The sequence below is a fragment of the Homo sapiens genome, chromosome 3, assembly GCF_000001405.40.
Source record: "Homo sapiens chromosome 3, GRCh38.p14 Primary Assembly".
Lineage (NCBI taxonomy): Eukaryota > Metazoa > Chordata > Mammalia > Primates > Hominidae > Homo > Homo sapiens.
Genome location: NC_000003.12, coordinates 18,400,569 through 18,420,725, shown reverse-complemented (window position 1 = coordinate 18,420,725; position 20,157 = coordinate 18,400,569). Strand labels below are relative to the sequence as shown.

Genomic DNA, 20,157 nt, shown 5'->3' with positions numbered 1-20,157 from the left:
TGAAAGCCCTGTTGTCTACACAAGGCCACACTGTGTGGGGGTGGAGTGGCAGAACATGTTTTGTATACTCTGCCTTTATTCTCCTTATGATCGTACATTAGTTACATTCTGGGTCCTTAGTATCAATCACGTTGGAAAGTATAGCCTCCATGCTTGGGTGGAGCGTTCTACTGTAGACTGGAATCATGGAACATTTTGGGTAATAAGGACTGAATTAAATATAATGGTTTTAGTTTTGGCAGGGTCCATTCAAAAGGTGTTGTAGTCGAGGATTGTAGGCAGCTGTTTCTTCAAACTAACCTGATTAAGAATAAAACACTTAGGTGATTTGAGAGTTACCCTAGCTTCTTCCTAAGATTCTTAGTTGTAGGGCAGTTTCAGAGATCTTGGACATCTTATGTAGAAGTTTGGTAATGTTATTTTTTGTGGCTTATTTTCTTAAGAGCAAATTCATTAGCAGTAAAAAATCTGATGATTCTAGTTTTTTATTTTTGTTTTAATTGGGTATTTTTGATGAAGAAAGAACAGATTTAGGCAAGTTTATAAGGGGAAGATGTGTAACTGTGTGACTTTTTTCTACCAATATTAAATTGATGCAGTTTAACAACTTGGACTGTGTTTAACAGTGTTGTTCCTGTAAAGCAGTGCCTACCCTGGGTGTAATGCATGTGCCTCATAAGGAGCTTCATTTTGTGTCTGAATAACATGTATAGGAATCAGATTTTCCTTACATTTGCTAAGCAATGGATAAAAATGCTATATTTTAGCAACCAAGAATATTAAGTAGATAAAGTTAGAAGGCAGAGGAATTTCATTGTGTTTGATGCGTAACATTTATCATACAATCATTTATTTTTTCCTTGGTTTGGCGAAAACAAAGAATATATTGATCCTGAAATGAACAGACACAGCAGTCCGTATTGTTAGATCTTTATCTATTAAAAATGGGAAAACAGCACTTCAGCAAATTCTTTGGCCTCTACTCATGATTACCCTATTTATTGATTGTTTGCCAAGAATGTATGCATCTTAAGAAAGCCAGGGTAAGAGCATTAAAAATATAATTTATTACGGCTTTTCAAACAGAGTGCATTAATATTGTACTGTGAAGCACTGGGGCTGTATAAAAAAGACTTTCTGACGCCTGCAAACATGTAAGTTCCATAAATTCCTAAATAGGAGATTTCAGCTGTCTCTGGTATTATGTGATATTTGCACAGCAAACTTTAATGCCAGGACAGTTTTAGACAAGGATTCTACAGACTTCACTGCTCCTTATGGCAGACGTGCTGTTTACACAGGCTCATAAACCTTCAGCAAAAGCTTCTAAGACTGCCTTCAGGTTTAAATCATGTGGTATTTTTAGCATTCAGCAGTGACCAGTGCTCTCCCCTTTAAATGCTGGAAGGTTATGAAGTTGCTGTAGTTGGAACTCTCGCCAAACACTAGCACGAATAATCATACAGTTCAGAAAAGGCTTGTGTTCAGCATTACTCCCAGAAACGGGAGGGTAACCGCAACAGTTTGCTAGAAGGTCTGTAATTAGATAGTACTATTGTCACTTTATAGCCGTCTTTATTATTTTAGGGTACCTCTAAACATGATCAATAAAATCCACAATAAATCCAATATATTTCAATAGTTTGAAAACCCTGCAGTTATTTCATAGATCTAAGGAAAAGCATATTGTAGAATACATCTGATTCATCCTACAAAAGGAAAAATGAATGTGTACATTTTTGTTGTACTTACCCAACTCTTTGAAGATATCAGGACAGGAGGAGGAAAACTAAAAGTACAGTAAATTCACTTCCTGCTCAAATGCTTTTTGGTTTTGTTTTGTTTTGTTTTGGATGTATTCTAAAAATGCAGTTTAATTGTAGGAGGGTCTCAGATACTCCAAATAACAAAATTACTAAAGTCTTTTTGTGGGTTTTTATTAACATTTTCATCTTATTTTTCATGTGCATGGTTTCTGTCTGATAGGTGCTAAATGAAAATTATGGCTGAGATGAGAAAACACTACTAAGAAAAAGGGATTGAATGGTTTTATTTGTTTAGGCGATTTTGCCAGAATACCTTCAAGCCAAGGAAGGAATCGCCAGTTTGCATATTGCTATTTTTGCTGTGGTCTCCCCAAGTTGTCTTCTGATCCCCGACGGGTTCTTTCTCTGGTATAAAACAGCTGAATGAATGACAAAAATATTGGCAAGCTCTGCGGCTTGTTTTTCATGCCTAGCCTATTGGTACCTCCGAATGAGTTTGTGAGTTTTTCTAAGTAAACCTAAAGGGTTTTGTCAGACCTAGAATCTCTTGTGAACAGTTCACTAAAGCTTTGGTGAAGACTCACATGTAGAAAGATGTAGCTGTTTTATTGCCGGCTTTTGTTCAGCAGAAACAAGCAAATAGAGAATCTTTGAAGGGCCTCTCTGGTGTCAGTAGGAAATCCTGATTTTTAGCTACGGTTGGTGTGCACTAAGTCATCTTCAGAAGTTGGTAGGATTCTGTGAGTCCAGAGGACAGAGCTTATAGAGGCATTAGTATTGTAGGACTAATTGTGGATCCTGGGTGCCCTGTTAAAGTAACCCTTGTCATCATTTATGCTAAAGATGATACCCTTCTGGCAGTTTGCCACAGTACAATTCAGATGCATCTGCTTTTAACCCTTTTCCGTTATCATTGGAAGTCTGACAGTGCGCTGCATAAACACCTTGAGTACCACAGCATTCCGTAATATCAATTTCTAGAAGAAGCCTCTTTCTAATAGTAGTGTGGCCGGTGCTTATTAATCATCTAGCTACTGAGTTACTGTATTGGATTAAAATATATAAAGAGAGAGCACACCAAATCTATGCAGATTCCTTTATCCTAGTATGTCAGTTTCCTTTTCTATCTCTCATTTTTACCTTATTTACTGTAACAAAGATTGTTGATTTTAAAGACTTATGGGTACCGTGCTCTCTTTTTAGTTAGGTAGGTTAAATGAGTATTCATAAAAGCAAATGTTATTTTTCTACATTATGCAGATATTGAAATTGTGTATTATGAGCACCAGTTTGGTTAAGTACTTTTTGTGGAACCAGTTAGAGCTAATATCTAAAAAAGGAAGAAAATGATTTGTGGAACCAGTTAGAGTTAATATCTAAAAAAGGAAGAAAATGAAAATTTCGTGGTCGAAGATAATTTGTTTGGACACAAACCCAGGAAAAGTTTATTATTAACAAAATCATGTAAGCAGTAGAAAGGTGGGTTCTTCTGAAGATAAATGGTGAGTTATGTTTGCATACTGTATACTACTCATAGCAAATTAGAGAAGATACATTTATTTCTCTTTCGTCACCATTATTATTTGATCAGAAAGGTAATTCTGCATTCATTGCTTTTGGAAAATGCACTGTTAATTTAGAGCACAGCTTACCTTAGGACCAAGTTCATATTCTACTTAAATATTTCTGTTACGACTTTAAATAATATGAGAATGTATATATTTGTGTGCATTTGCCTGTACTGTACCCAGTCTGCCTTGGAAGCACAGTGAATCTCTTGTGATTATTTATTTTCATGGCTAATATTTCCTCCCGCCACCCCCAAGCTGTATTTCTGAAGATTGTTGGTTTTCCATCTCTTCTTCTTCATCTTTTTGATAGGAACCATGCTGCCAGTTTTCTGTGTGGTGGAACATTATGAAAACGCCATTGAATATGATTGCAAGGAGGAGCATGCAGAATTTGTGCTGGTGAGAAAGGATATGCTTTTCAACCAGCTGATCGAAATGGCATTGCTGTCTCTAGGTTATTCACATAGCTCTGCTGCCCAGGCCAAAGGTAAATAATGTGTACGTGGGGTTGGAAAAATTGCTTAGCATTCTTTGTTTACCTTGCAGAGAAAGCACTGAATATTTTTATTCAAAGAACTGTAGCCTGTGTATTACATTGGTTCCTTATAGGCTGTGGCTTTAAAAAATTGGCTTAATTCAGTTTGGTTTAGTTAACACACATTTTGCTCATGTGGAATGTCGAGGTAGATTTTTTTTTTAAATTACTTCAGCTGAATCATTAGTATGCTTATTGACCTTAATAATCTGCTCCACTGAGGACCCACAAGGAAGTGAGGAGCGTATTTGAGCAGATGGACTGTTGAGAGTCAATTTGCATTTATGACTGAATATCTAGTTCTGTTTCTTTTATTCTGTTTCTGATGGTTTTATGGGCTGCAAAGTATTTTTCAATGCTGATTCCCACTGCAATAGAGAATCTTATCTAAATCATAAAGCCATTTAGAACTGGTTCGGCTATGTCTTATTAGAACTTCCTGTAAGTTAGGAAAATGTGGCCTTATGCATAGGTTTTATTGATGGGGTTTTATTTCCAAAATAATAAACAACCCTACAGTCATTTACATAATTTTACAATTTGGAAAGCTAAGCTGTGAATATTTTCATTGACCTGCCTTTTAGAGGGAAGGGAATCATTCAAACAGAAATAACGGTACTGCTTGTGGTAGGGGTAGTAGAAAAGAAAAGAACACCCTTCTAGTAGATATATTATCTGAGGGTAAAATATTTAGTGACATATTCTCTTTATCTGAAATAGGGCTAATCCAGGTTGGAAAGTGGAATCCAGTTCCACTGTCTTACGTGACAGATGCCCCTGATGCTACAGTAGCAGATATGCTTCAAGATGTGTATCATGTGGTCACATTGAAAATTCAGTTACACAGGTGAGTCAAGACAGCAAATCTAGGGTGAAACATTCTTCTTACCTGGTCTTTTGAAATGAAGCATTTCTCTCTGGTCGACCTTCAATTTTTTTTTAGTCTGTGTTTCAGAAAGGTTAATACAGATCGATTTTGTTACCCTATCCTTCTGCCTTTTTTCCTAACTTCAATGTATAATTTAAAAGCAATCCCCCCCCCCACACACACAAAAAATGTGTAGGTTTGTGCAGGTTATCAAAAGACAAGACTTTTTACGTTTAGTCAATTAAATAATGCATCACAAGAAGGCATTTTACATAAAGTTTACTTAAGAAAAAAATATTTTTGCATATCATGAACAGTGCCATCTGTGTACATTTTGTGAAAGACTGTCTTATTCACTATTACCACAGTCTTATTTATTTATTTATTTTTTTATGATTTTTAATTCATATGAACAGAGTAATGAAAGGAAATCGGTTAATACATTAAAGCTTTTCATGATGGCTCAGGAGAAAGCAGTACACCTTAAATTGTCTTCCCAAGCGCATCAGAGCAGGAAGGTAGAAGTAACATGAAAAAATAGCCACCACAGGCAGCTGATGTATAATTCATGCATCGATACAGCAGATGTGTTGTATAAAGTAATTAACTAATCGGAACAATCAGGAGACCGAGAGCAATCTCCAGATGCATCTGTTTGATGCGCAAAATGAAATCTGTCTGTCTTAAAGGAATGTTCTGCAGCGGGATGCAATCTTGTAATAATCCCCTTTCTAATCTATGTCTCAAATAGTTGCCCCAAACTAGAAGACTTGCCTCCCGAACAATGGTCGCACACCACAGTGAGGAATGCTCTGAAGGACTTACTGAAAGATATGAATCAGAGTTCATTGGCCAAGGAGTGCCCCCTTTCACAGGTACTTAGCATAGAATGTAATAAATAATAAGACATCATGGGCAACCCTGATTTGAGGTTTGATGGAGCTCCCTGGTTTAAAGCAACTGGTATCTGAAGCAAGAATCTGCCAAAAATGCAAAGTGACTTGACCACTGGTGACCTTTTAAAATATGCCTGATTCCTTGTGAACAGAGCCTATAGGCTTTTTCTCCCTTGGGGAAAAGAGGCAAAGGACTGTTTACAGGAAAAACAGTTCAGTGGAAGACTCCGCTGGCTAATTTTTAGATTTGTCTTCTGAGTGCTATTAGCATGATGGCTAAATTCTCCTGAATGCCCTTATTTAAGAAAGAGTCGAGGTGGTACTACTCCCACGAAGCTTCGGTGAGAGGGAATGGCAGTGTCAGTGTTAATGTGTAAAACTTCACCGTGCTATCTGAGTAAAATAACAGTACAATTCTTGGATACTTTACTCATTACCAAAAAATTAAAAGTATTTTAGTACAAATAATTATGAAAATAATTACTCTTAACTAAAGGTTGAATAGTTAATTCATTAGGATTTTGTGACCAGTTTTGTGGCTTTGGTTTACTTCTTTTCTGTTTTTTTAAGTGGAATTTTCTTTTTTCCCTCTGAGATGCCTGTTATACCATCAGGGATTTTTAAAATAAAGATTTTTTTAATGATTTTCCTTGATTTCTTTTTTTAGAATAAATTTGGTGGAGGGCAGCTAAAACTCTAGATAGAGACTGCCTACCTGCTTATAGACAGAAAATCAAACATCATTTTTGATGAAACTCAGCTGATTTCAAATAAAAAATAAAAAGGATGCTGTGAATCTACTCTTAAAGGGCTGCTTTTGTGGTCACCATGTAAATGTGTTATAGTCATCCCCTCAGTACCCAAACCCGTTTTAAGGCCATTCCATGATACAGTATAATTAAAATGTTGGTCCAACTAGATTTTTACCAGATTTTTAATGTTTTCTTTTAATTTGAGTTTTAATTCTGAATATTAGTCTTAGCCATTTGAACTTGAACTGTAGGATGCTGCTGTAAACATTTCTGCAGTGGAGAGATCTCAAAGTGTATTTCTGCTATATTCTGAGTAGCAGATATTCTCAAAATGTGTTTCTAATGTGAGGCTTATGAAGATTATTGGGTACCTTTGAAGGGAATCTTGTCAGCTTTGTGCTTCTGTTTCATAGAAACTCCATGCATTTCAGATTTGCTAAGTTACGTTCCAACACTTTTACTTTGATATTTGCTAGAAATTTTAGGAATGAAGCAAATGAATTGTTTATAATTAATAGCTTTCTATATATTCTAAAATAAGCTATAGCCACAGGTTACATATTCTCTGTATTGTTAAGTGTCCATTTCTTGCAATTCAGAGAAAACTCTTATTTGTCATTTCAGTTATACCTACAGCTAATCTCCTGTCTTCCCTCTCTCACCCTTGGAATAGAGAGGATATGAATTTATAACCATCAAATAAAAATAATTTAAATTAATCACAAATGAATAGGATGATAGAATAAAAGGGTGACTCTTACTTCAGGGACTTTGTTTCGCAGACAACTCCAGATAACATGTTACATGGTTGCTAACATATGAAAATTTGAAATGATCTAGAAATAAACTTTTTAAAAACTCAGTTAAAATATGATGTAAACACCCAGTACTGGAATCGCATGTGTCTTTATGTTACTAAATGTCCCATTGATCTTGGAAGTATATTCAGACAAATACTTAAGGCATTTACTATGAGCTGAAGAAGAGGCTGTCGTTACAAATATTTATTGATACAGTCAGTGAGAACTAATTGTTAAATGACATCAACATTCAGCCAATAAACTCTACCTCACTATAACTTATAAATAGAATTGTGAATTTACTTAATGTTATCATGGAAAATGAATTGCATACAATTATAACATTAAGTAGAATGACAAAATGTAATTCAGGACTTGGTTTTGGAGTCATACATTGGTGAATTTCTATAGAGAGAGGTTTTCAGATATATGGCTTCCTGTGGCTGGATACCTCACTGTAATCATTAAGTGATGGAACTAGGCTACAATATCAACATCAGTTATAATTGCAGTATTCTTTTCCATAAAAAAACTTCTAAAAATTATGCATAGTTTAGGAGTGAAAGCAAATATTTGAAATTAATATTTAATAATATGAAAACATGTAAATTGTTCTCTAAATGAGGTACTTATTTTATATTTTGCTGAATCATCTTCTCTTTTTCTATGAATCTGATACTCCAGTCAGAATTTTTTCAACATAAACTGTTTTCTGTTTGCTTCTTTATTATGTTTTTCTGTCTAGAGTTATTAAAATGAGAGATGCAAGTTCCCTAAAGCCTATGTCCAAAATATATGCCAAGTTTGACAAAACTACTCTTTTTCCTATGGTTAAGATTTGGTGATGAAGATGTCATGGTGAAAAAAGCCTAGCAAATAAATATGGCCTCAGTCTTGAGCAAAATGGGACCTAACACCAAGAAATGCCAAGTGTTAAGCCCTTTCTTCCCCTGTGGAGTGTTGATTCATTCATGGGAGAGAACCTTTAGCATGCAATACACCATACACATTTTACTGTACAGTAAGGGTTTTATTTTGTTGAATATGATAAAGTACTCCAGTAGCAAGTATGGCTACAGGGGCCCTAAATATTATAGTTAGTAGAAAGTTCACCCTGTGGGCAGGTAAATTCCTTTTATAGAGCAGGGGCCAGGAGGAGTGGAACTGGGGAGCCACCAGGATTTTGCCTGGGGTGTTGAATAAGCCCTGCCTCCAATGCTCTTAGGACGATTGTCTAATACTTGCTAAGCAAATGTCCATTTGGACTTGGATTCTTAGAACCAGAAGGGATTATCCTTCCTAGGCTCCTCCTTTTGATAATTGAAGGAGCCAGTGTCCCTGGAGATTAAAGTCACGGTGCAATGACTAACAAGAAAGTCCTGACTTGCTAAGCCTATGTCCTTGCCTGACAATAAATTTTAAAGTGCTGATTTAGCTACTTGGGAGGCTGAGGCAGGAGAATTGCTTGAACCCAGGAGGCGGAGGTTGCAGTTAGCCGAGATAGCACCACTGCACTCTAGTTTGGTGACAGAACGAGACTCCGTTTCAAAAAAAAAAAGGAATACTTACATTTGGGTACAATAATGTTTTCTTTGATGATATTCATAAGGTTTTCTTCAGCTGCAGAAATTCCATAAGTGGGCTTAGTTTGATTTACAACTCATACCTTTATTTCTGTTATCACTTTCCTATCATAAATCTGCCCAAATCGATTGACACTAATTTATTAAATTCTTTGTACCATGTGTTTTTTTATTTTTGTAAAATGTTCTAAGACATAAGAAACACTTAGCTCATTATAGGTCTGAGGTTAGATGTTTTGTTGTTACTTTTGTTTTTTTCGGTGGATGTGGTTAGATAAGTTGGATGGTGCATTCTGAACTGCAGCTAAGGAGAGAATAAACACTGATTTGGGGACAAGAGAGCCTGTAGTCATGAAACTTTTGAGGATATGGATTTGGGAGGAAAATTGGGAATTTAAAAAGTAAACATTTTTATTTATAATAAAACATTAACATTTTGATGCTTATTTTCCCTGGAGTTTTAGAAATTGCATTTAAAAACTAGATAAATGTATATACATTCTGATACAGGGTAGATTCATTTTGTTAAGTAAAGGTCAGCTATTACTTCTACCAGCGTAATGTCTTCCTTCTAAAAATGTTTAGGTCAAATATTTCATGGAGGTTTTAATCTGATTTGCGCATTTTTACCTTCCCTCTTTCACCACACATGTGGGCGTACATACTCGCGCGTGCACACGTGCACACACACACATCACAACTTTCACATTTTTAAGGCATTGGATTATTTTCTATCTTATTTCTCACCTGGAAAAGATATCTTTAAGCCAAGTCATATAAAGTGGGTGAGAAGTGTTATTTTTATTTTCAAGTAGCAAAATATATATAAAATAAATTTGAACATTCCATTTAGAAGTAATATTGAGAAAGATGATTTTCCAACTTTCCTTTTATTCACAGCATCCTGAGATCTCAAATATGTTGGACAATTTATTTATTAATGGAAAAATAAATTTTAAAAAGAAACTACCTCGTGCTCCTGAAGCTTAGCTTCAGTACTGCTCTCCTGAAACATGACAGTCATTTCCGTAGGAATTAAATACACTTAGGTGTTTAGTTGATGTTCAGTCTGTATTATAAATGATATTGGAGCAACAATTACAAATCTATCATGTTATACAAATGTGTTTTTAATAAACTGTACTTTATTTCACAGTTTTTGGACTGGAATGACATGTTTCTTAAAATTTTAAATCAGTTTTAGTAAGCACATTCTTAAGAGAATAGCCAGCATCAGTGTTCATATACTGCATTTCACATGAGAGTCTAATCTATGAAATTTGTTCACATTCATATATTCAAAAGTATGTATTGACAGTCTGCCGTATGCCAGGCATTCCATTTCCTATGTAGTGTTAAGGATATAACATCTTATTAGTTGAAATAATAGTATTACACTTTGATTTAGTGCTTTTGATGTATCGAGAGCGCCTTTGGTCCCCCTAAGTAGGATATAGTCTTATATCCCCATTTTTAAATGAGGAACCTGAGGCACAGAATGTTGACATGAGTGAGCGTCCATGGCTACATCGCTGGTGAAGCACAAGGGTGAGACTTCATACCGAGAGCCCGGGAGCTTCACCAAGTAGCCTTTTCATCACATACCACAGATAAAGGAAGTTTAAAAAAGACAAAATGAAAGCCTCTCAGATGAATTGGATAGGTTTTATAATATGCTTTGATTTCTCTAAAGTAGTGATAACTACTTGTAGTTTTCCAAGTGTATTTATTCTCATTGCTGAAAATTTTCTTTACCGTGCTTTGGTTTTGTGTCTTTGATTTTTTGTTTGTATGTTGTCTTGTTTTAAAAGTACATTGCTGTCATATCAAGCCCCTAATCATGGGTGATCTAGACAGGAACTGACTTTTGGGATAACTTGGTATTTGGGACGTTCCAGAAGATTTGCCGGTATAGTTCTGTGCAGTTACTTCTCTTTCCTATTCTTTCATATTCTCAAGACCAGTAGGCATAATTATGCTAATAGCCCTTTGTTTTGAACCCCAAGGTAACATTAGTCATTTTCATTAGAAATAGTGGGCAGATGAATTTCTTGGGTCTGTTTGAAAATACAGACTCCAGTCATCAGACTGGTCTTTTACGAGCAGCTCCATTTTAAAATAAAAGGATTCCTGTTTGAGATGAGCTGGAATGATTTTGTACTTGCCCCTTCCCAGTATAAAATTATCTTATGTTTAAACATCATATATTTTGAATAAAAGCTCTACAGAGAATCTTCTTTCCTTTTTAACATTAAAAAACTTTCCCTAGTTTTTACCCTACTGACCGTGGGAATCTTAGATTATAAATATCTGCTTTGCCAGGCACTGAAGTACTTGATACTAATTGGATATTATGACCACTTTTCAGCAATTGTATTACTGTAATGGTGGGATCCATAAAGGAAATGGTAAACCTGTCTTATATGGGTAGTTGTGTGAATTGCAAAACTTACATCAAATAATTTTTTTGCCTCGTCTTTTGAACAAGTCATGACATCATTCTAGTTCCTTTTTCAACTTAGTGAGATGTCTGCTCTGTGTTAATATTATAATGTGTATAATCTACAACAGAATTGTCCTCCAAATTGCAAGTTTTCCTTTTTGAATCTAATATATCAGGCTCATTTTTAGATGACTTAGATGCATAAGGATTTTATCGTAGCTTGATGTTAGCTCTCTGTAACCTTTCAGGTATATTAATCAAAAAAGCCAAACTTAATAAAGCATCTAATTTAAAATGGATTGATCTCAAATATTTTATAGCCACTATCTTTTCACAATAGTAAAACATAAAAGAGTTTAAGCTATGCCAATTTAGAGAGTGCTTAACAATGTGTAATTACTTTATTTTCACTTAATAGATTTTTACCTGTGCCTTGTTTCAGATCTGAATAGGTTTCCTTTGACCTCAAAATCACTAATGCAGGGAAAATTACCATATCATGAGAGTATTTTTCCTCTTTCTTTTTTTTGCCTGATGCTTAGAATAATAAATACTCCCAAGGCTTAGGAGTAGACATGGCCTGAGAGAAAGCCTATTAAATGCTATTTTCTAATGGTTTTAAAAAACAACTTAAACAAATCATGCTACTCAAACTGATTTTCTTGCTAAAACAGAACTAGTTTTAGAGTATATTTTAGACATCTTTTTTTCTCAATTACTAGTTAAACTTGAAGTTGGGCTCTATCTGGATTTGCTTTATAGATCTGCTTCATTTCATGCCAGATTTGGGCAAACCATGAACAACCCCCAACTCCAGGAAAAAAAAAAAAAACCTGATAATCAAAACAAACAGATACACGAACTCAATTTCCCCCTCTTTCATTGGAAACTGCTTGATTATAACGTGCTCTGAGTATGAAAAACATAAGAGAGCCTTTAACATAACAGAGGAGAGCCTCAGCCCTGGTTCTGCAGCTCATTGCCAATTGAAGTAAGGAACGCTCTGGCTGTTGGGACTTTTAAATCTAGACTTAAAAGTTATTTGTTCTGTTTAGCATTTTTAAAATGATTCTATTAGGAATTGTATGTGCTTCAGTTTTAATTTTAACTCATAATGATTGTAAAGCACCCTGGGATGCTTGCATGAAGGGCGCTACAGAAATATAAGATTGTATTGTGTTCTAATATGCAGTCTTACGGGGTGCTGGAGTTTCATCATGGACAATTCATAAGATTGCAGAATTCCTCATGGCAGAGAAGGTGGCTGACTTCTTTAGCAGTCTTTTTCTCTCATTCTTACTCTGAAACTTTGTTCTCTTTAGTCATCATCTTTCTCTCTTAAAAAAATTGATTATTTTCTATTGTAATATTTTCCCATAGAAATGCTAATCTAATTTAGTTTACTCAGGTTGAAGATGCAAACCAGTTGATAGGTTGGAAGTTAAGAAAAGATTAAAGCTTTAATTGCTAGCACTATTTGAGATCACATTCTTATCTGAATAACAAGACATGGTACTTCATTACTGGATACCACCAACTCTCTCAGGCTTGTCCCATTTTACTGTCCACCTACTATTTGTTCCAAGGAAGTTCAGAAATGTAACAAGTATTAACTTTGTGAAATGTCACAATGAGACTCTTCTCTGTATTGAAACTCCTGTCTTATGATAACATACGACACAGCTTGATCTAGTTTTCTTTTTACTTTTTAATGGGACTGTTTCTTTAGAGTAATGGCATTTCTTCAGCAACTTCATTGTGTTACTTTTTGTGTGTTTTTGTTTGTCATTGCTCTCTAGCATCACTTTAATTAGCTCCTAGCATCGTAGGAATCAGGAATGTGAGTTATGTTGTGGCCAGCTATATGAGCTTGGGCAGCTGACTCCATGACTCAATTTTCTCATCTATAAAGTCGGAAGATAATAGTACCAATGTCTCGCATTGTTTAGAGAATTAAATGAGCTAGTACTTAGAAAACATTTAGAACAGTTTTCAGTCCTAAAGTGTGCCATAACTAGTTGTTTTTCTAAAATGTGGGCATTGAGAGTTTGAAATCACACTTGTGCATGCCACATGGTCTATGTAACTCTCTGGCTACATGGAAGATTTTGGTGCAATCTTCATTTTTAGTGAAAACAACCAAATACTTTTCATTTGTGAAAAAATTAAAAGACTATATTATAACTCAATCTCAACATTAAGGAACACTTACAGTCATTATAAAGTTATGATGTATTTTAAATTGGAAGTGGAAGACTGCAGCTTATACTTTAAATAAATCCATTTGGAAGTTTAGCATATATGATACCCTAGGCTAGATAATGTCAAGTAGAATAAAGATACCTGATGGGACTGTTACCAAGAGGTGAGCTTTTCCCAGTGTCTTTTCCGTTAACTAACTTCGCCTGTACTCCCAGCACCCAAGGTTCTGTCCTCTCCTTATGTGCCCATCGTAGCATTTGCCACATTGTTCTGAAATAGTCTGGACTAACTAGGCTGTGTACACTGTAATTGTCCCAAAGGAACTAAGTTGTATTCATCACTGTCATAGATCCTGACACACAGTAGGAACTCGGGAATATTCGTCAGACTTAAACAATCTTGTAGGATTTGCACATGTTTATTTCATAAGCCAGTATACCGTGTCAGTAGTTGTATTAGTAGTACTTTATACTTTTATCTACAGTATCCTATCTTATGAAATATTTTCCTATTATACTTAATTCTGTATTTTTACCTAACAAAGAACAAATCACTTCTGAATTTTTCTCTAAGAAAACCTACTGACATTTCAAGCTGTCTCATGCTTTTGTATATTTGATAATGTTCATGAATATGTGTACTAAACATTTGTAAGCACAACAATAGCCTTGGAGTTACAGGGAACTCAGAGGTCTGAATGCTTAAAAAGACCTGATTATACATCACAGTTAAGGGCAAGCTTTAAAAACATATGCAGCATTTCTAAATTTTAAAATTTTTCTTCCACAATTGTACATGTATTTCAGCCTGGCTAATAATTTTCATTTTGTCTCAGTTACATTATATTTGAGACCCACACTTCTTCACTATTATTTTCATTTGTTTATTTTCTTCTCATATTCAAGAGTAAAATAGGAAATTTTCAATAACAGATAATTTATAGACAAAGATACTGATGTTGCCAATACGGAAATGTTAACAGTATCACCCCATGTTCACTTCCAGCGTCCATTCCTCAGTTGTGTTCTAAAGTCTACATTTGGCATAAGAGACTCCATTTAAGGCTATAAACATGCAGTGTTTTAAAGTCAGCTGTATACAGGTCTAGAGTCACCTGAATTTAGAGAGAGCTGCAAGGGTAGATAACTGTTCAGCCATTCCATAATGGGCCTTAGGGACTTGGTTTGTCCACTTTCTGCGTGATCACCAGCTCAGCCTGGAAAACACATGTTTAGTGATGGATGGAGCTCTTTATTATATGATTTACAACCCATTCCAACACATTTTTATCATTTCGCCATAACTTCTAATGAGATGATTACCAGAGGATGGCATTTTCCTACACTGTGAAGGATTTTCATAATATTGATTGAGATGAAGCCAGATTAATTTGATTTTTCTTTATGATCTAATCCAGAGGTGACATTGGTTTATGTTTATCTGGTAGACATGGGAAGTCTTATCTAAAAGCTGACAATGATGAATAAAACACAGAAATCAAAGCTGCGGTTTAGCCCTCAGTCTTCTGTGAAGTCTTGGATCAGATCTGAGAGGGGTCCATGGACCCCACAATCTGTGCAGACCCTGAAATTATAAGCCAATTTTGGGAATGCATGGAGGACAGCTTTCATAGGTTTTATGTAATTTCCAGAGTTAGTTCTGTGGCCCTGTAAAGAGCTAAAAGCCAGGAGGTATTTTACCTCCAATTTTTAGGCAGTATGGCTTAAAAATCTAATATGCTCCTGTACAGAAGGAATGCAAAGAGGTAATATAAAGTCTTCCTGTGAAGAGTTACAGAACCTAATTCTAATATTTACTTTTGGAAAATGAATTGCTCAAAGTACTTTAGTTCTTGTTTTCGCTCTGTGGTTTAAGGGTTTTTTGGTTTTGTTTTGTTTTTTTAAAAGGCTCTATTTAGGACCTCTGGAACTTAACACGAATTTGGTATCTTTCCAGATACTAGAAATTGTAATCTCTAGAGAGGATGAGCGATTTAACCACACAAGGGCATCAGAGAAAGAGATTTCTCAAATGGGTACATTGGTATAGAGTGCCTAAGATTCAGAATCAGGAAACAATTTTGTCAATAAAATCAAATAAAATTCCTTGGATTCATATTTATCTAATGAAAAACTTGTGAAAATTCTATTTGGATATAACATAATATATAAGTTAATAATGAGTGTATTTTAAATAATCATAAGCAGGATGCCAATGGGGTCGTAACCTTCCTAAAAATAAGACTCTAGTTGGAGACATTTGCACAGTGAGTACCTGAGAATGAATAATGTGCGTTACAATTGAATCTTTTTTAGTCACTCTGTTTGAGAAGACATACAGATTTCATAGACTTTTAAATCTGTTAGAGGAGACGTTGGAGATTATCTAGTTCAGTTCCCTTCATGTTACAGCTTCTGTGTGCAGTTAATTTGGAATATCACATGCTCTTAATATACCTTTTAAAAATATTTTATAGTTTAAGCTCTTTACCAGTATATTCATTTGGTTTGAGTTAGGTTTCAGTGTGATAAGAAAGGTCTGGCTAGGTACTTATACAAAAGGGCAGAATAGAGAATCTGGTCAGAACATACTATCTGGGCATTATGTAAGTTATTTTAACTATATGGAAGAGCCATATAAACTGTGAACCAACATTTTCTTTTAAAAGTTATGAATCGAGTATTTAAATAAATAAAATTTCTGTGCTTTGATATGATCACATTTTCATCTTTAGGAAATATAGTAGGAAAATTAAAATAGAATTGGATGTGTTCTCTTTGTGCTTCCTTTTGTATTCCTTTGGAGCTTTGTACTGAGTTTCCAATTTTAGCAATGTGCCAGGGTTACTTTGTATGAAAATGCCATTTTCAGGCACTAGGATTGATCAAGATGGCAAGAGCCATAACTATGACAACTGGAGTTTAAGTAAAATTTAGAAGTGATTAGTCTCTTCTCAACAAATTGAGATTCCAAATATGCCCCAGTTGTATCTCCCAAGAGAATAGCTTAGAAAGCAATAGAGGATCCAGAGGGAAAGATTTGGGAAACAGAAGCTGACAAGCACAAACAGAATATTGCACTTAGAAATCCTGCCATTCGCTGTCATAAATTGAAGCCCATTTCCTGTCCTTCCCACCCCAAAATACCAGATGGGAACTACCTGTTAATTTTCAACAAATTCATTTCTTGTCAATATATCATATCTCATACGATGCCTCTTAGAGCTTGTTTGTAGTATTTGGTGTCCTTTGAGATTAAAAGAAAACCTCATTTACGAGGAATCCCTGTGAAAATTGTATTTGAATGTGTAGTTGATGTGAAGTTAAAGTTTGACCTTTGAATTTTCCATGGACAGATAAAAAGCTGCTGTAAAAAATCAGGCCATAGGTAGTCAGGACATGCACAAAGGGGTGGGAGATTAGAATGTATGAAGTTGAACTTCTCAAAAAATAAAAATATAATAAAAGCCAGTAGTTTGACAGATTGTTCAGTAAATGCTCATTTTATTGAAAACTACAAAAAGGTGCTTAATGCCTTTGCGCCATTAATACAATACATAAAAAGGTTACTGTCAAGATTAGTGTTCCATCCCTGAAAATTAACTGTAGGGCTTTATACATCACCATGCATAGACTGAGAAGTTAAAGGTTTTTTTTAAATACACATTTTGCATTGTGCAGGCATTTATTTCAGAAAACAATTATTTTAGACTTTGTGCCAAAGACATTAGGAATGATGTGCTTTCATTTAAAGCACAGACATAACAGATATGTATTATAAACAGGTAGAACCATGAAATTTTCCTTATAGAATAAAACCTGTGCAAGATTATTTCCCTTGCTGTCTCTCTAGAGTATTCCAATTCAAAACATACATTCCTTCCTACAGAAAAAAGATATTCAGATTCCTTAGTTGAAATTAATTAGCATTCAGAAACCAGATAGCATGTTTTTGGGTATTCATGAGATCTCTGTTTGAAAAAAATGTTTTTAACTTGTAGAAATGTGTTGCAACACACAGATGGGAAGAAAAAGAAAAAAAAATCTCTTTAGCAAGCACTGTGTGTAAAAGGAATATTACATTTTGCACGCTCCTGATTGCTCTGTGTAAACAGTTTTTGACATCTGTCTTTATAGTTTTCGAGGAGAGGAAGACTTTGTTAAAAGAATCATTTTTATACAGCAGTCACCATTTCAGTCTTGCTTTACCTGTATTATGAAAGCAGATGGTCTGCATGTCTTTTGAATATTTATAACTATCAAAAACAATCTCTTGCTATTCACCCTTAGGCTTATGAGATGTCAGGACTGTTCTGGTTGAAAAAAATCATCTTGGGTGTTTACAGAAAGAGGATTACATTAAGCTGAAATGACTATACATTTTCCAGTTTAATATTTGTCCATCAGCTGTTTAATCGTATTTAGATAATTGTGTAAATAAGATGTTGTAGCCCTTGCCCTCTCTGCTGATGGAGCCTGAAAGCTTTAAACATGGGTGAACCACCATTTTGTAGATGCTCTTGCTACCTCCTCCCCACCTCAGCTAAACCATCGGCAAGTCCTTGATAAGTTTTGATCATGATATCACAGTCCTGTTTTTTTTGTTTTGTTTTTAAAGTAGTGCAAAAAACGCAAGCATGTAGATCATATGAAATACTAGGAAGCTGCTGGCTTCCGGTACAGGCTGTTTAGTTTATTAGGGTATATTGTAATATGCAAATATGGTACAGCACTCCAATTACCCTTTAAAGCTGACATGGTTTTCTCTTTATTTTCTATGAGCATGCAGAGCTCTGAGGGTATTTGGAAAACTTTTGGTATAGTGGGGGTTAACTGTTTTTTGACTGGAAGCTGAGCAATCAGTGATAACAGATTTTGCTGTGGTTGGTTGATTTGGCAGAAAAGCATGAACAGTTTTGGTTTAAATGATTGAATAACCTGATTAGCATTGTTTTGGGGTGGTTTTTTTTGGTTGTTGTTAAAGACACAACAAAGCAATTTTAAGGGTAATCAGATCACTGCCTTTCCCCATCTGATGAATCTTTTTTTGAGAAGGCCTCACCTCTCTCAAAACCCCTTCATTGGCTACTGAGATGAACAAGTAAAAAAATAAAACCATCTTCCTTCATTTTTAAACGTGTTATAGATATATACCTACAGTACATATGATATTGTAGCAGGGGTTTAAAAGAATAAAATTTTTTGAAACATTATGTAACCTTAACCGATTCTTTGTGGTTTTTGTTTTTCAAATTTAAAAGAGCTAGAGTATTTTAGAGCAAAGGTTCAGAATGTTCTATCTATCTTTAAGTTAGGCTTTAGAAAAATTCCACCCTTACCTTTTCACAATTAGAAAGGTTATAAATAATGTATTTGGCTGAAAAGGAAGCTCAGCCTGTGGCAGATGGTATCATTCTAGAGTACTGGGGTTTCTGTGAAGATGGCATTCTTTCAGATCGGAACTTCAGCAGACTCTCAGAAAGAACCGAAGCTCCTCATAGGGAGTAGACATGTGCTTTATGGATCTTAGAAAAGCTTACAACTTGGCTCCTAGGATGAGAATATTGTGTCACACTGGGGTTATGAGACCCACAGCCAATTTCTGCCAACTTTGAAATTGTATTTCCCAACACTGGAAGCTGTGGCCTATTTATTGGTTGGTGTACCGTGTAGCATTTGAACTTGGTATTTCAACCGACTGAGTTTTGTCGGTTGGTTTATTTTATTCTGTGAACATTGATGTTTTATACAGACCAGCCACTGAATAGGAAACTTGCCATACAAGTTGTGTCTTTTTCAAAGTGCTTTGGATAGCTTATATAAATAGACACTGAGAGAGAACTGGAATAACATAACCACCGAGCACTGCAACTTCCGAGACATCTGTGTGGATGTATTTTGAAAAACCTGGGAAGGGATCTCTTGCAAATTAATGAACAAAGGTTCTTGAAACTATGATTTCTATCACGACAGCCAAAGCGATGGATTTGAAAGATTCGTGTCATAGTTAAGCTGCTATTATGTTTGACCTTTAAGGGGAAAAAAGGGGAAGAGGATTTCTGGTGGCTTGTTTCAGTGACCCTTTTTATTGATCACCTAGTCTGTGTCCAGCCCTCTGATGAGTCCAGGATATATTCAGATGAGACCTAAGGCCCACAGTCCAGTGCAAAATAAACAGCAGGATGAGTGCTCTGCTGCAGGAGGTTTGGGAAGTTAGGAAAGGCCTCATGGAAGCAAGGATGCCCAGGCTGTATCCTGAAGGATGAGCAGCTGTTAGCTAGAGATGGGAGAGGGCATGGGCCGTGCATCCAAGCCAGAGGAGTGGTGTGCCTTCTTGATGCTTTCTACCAGATATAGGCCAGCTTCAGAAAACACCACCAAATTGGAGTATGAGAAGGAAAGAAATATTTCCCCGTGGTGTTTTCCTTTACTATTCCTTGTACCAACTTGTAACTTAATAATTTAATCAGTATACTTCATTCTACATTAAAAAGACTCAAAATACTGTATATCATTTGAAAATTTTATCTGATACTCAAAACATAGTCACCTGATATGAAATGTGATCATATAATGAAAGCCCAGTGATGAGGAGGAGGCAAAGGATTGTCATAGTAATTAATATCTCTTCAGTCTATATGTAATATGTTACAGGCTCTGTGCTAATTGTATCACATCTATTATTTCCTGTCCAAGGGCAGATAATATGTCTCTTCAAGTCATTATTTTCCTAGTGACTTGC

General features: G+C 35.3%; 1 protein-coding gene across 13 annotated transcripts in view; it reads left to right on the top strand.

The window, feature by feature from the left end:
* Window positions 1–20,157, top strand: part of SATB1 (SATB homeobox 1) — a 100,216-nt gene that overhangs the window by 24,867 nt on the left and 55,192 nt on the right. For all 13 annotated transcript variants that reach the window (NM_001322874.2, XM_011533989.3, NM_001322872.2 and 10 more), the window contains 3 exons: window positions 3,648–3,824; window positions 4,593–4,719; window positions 5,492–5,615. In NM_001322874.2, the coding sequence (NP_001309803.1) occupies window positions 3,648–3,824; window positions 4,593–4,719; window positions 5,492–5,615 (428 nt within the window). The remainder of the gene's footprint in view (window positions 1–3,647; window positions 3,825–4,592; window positions 4,720–5,491; window positions 5,616–20,157) is intronic.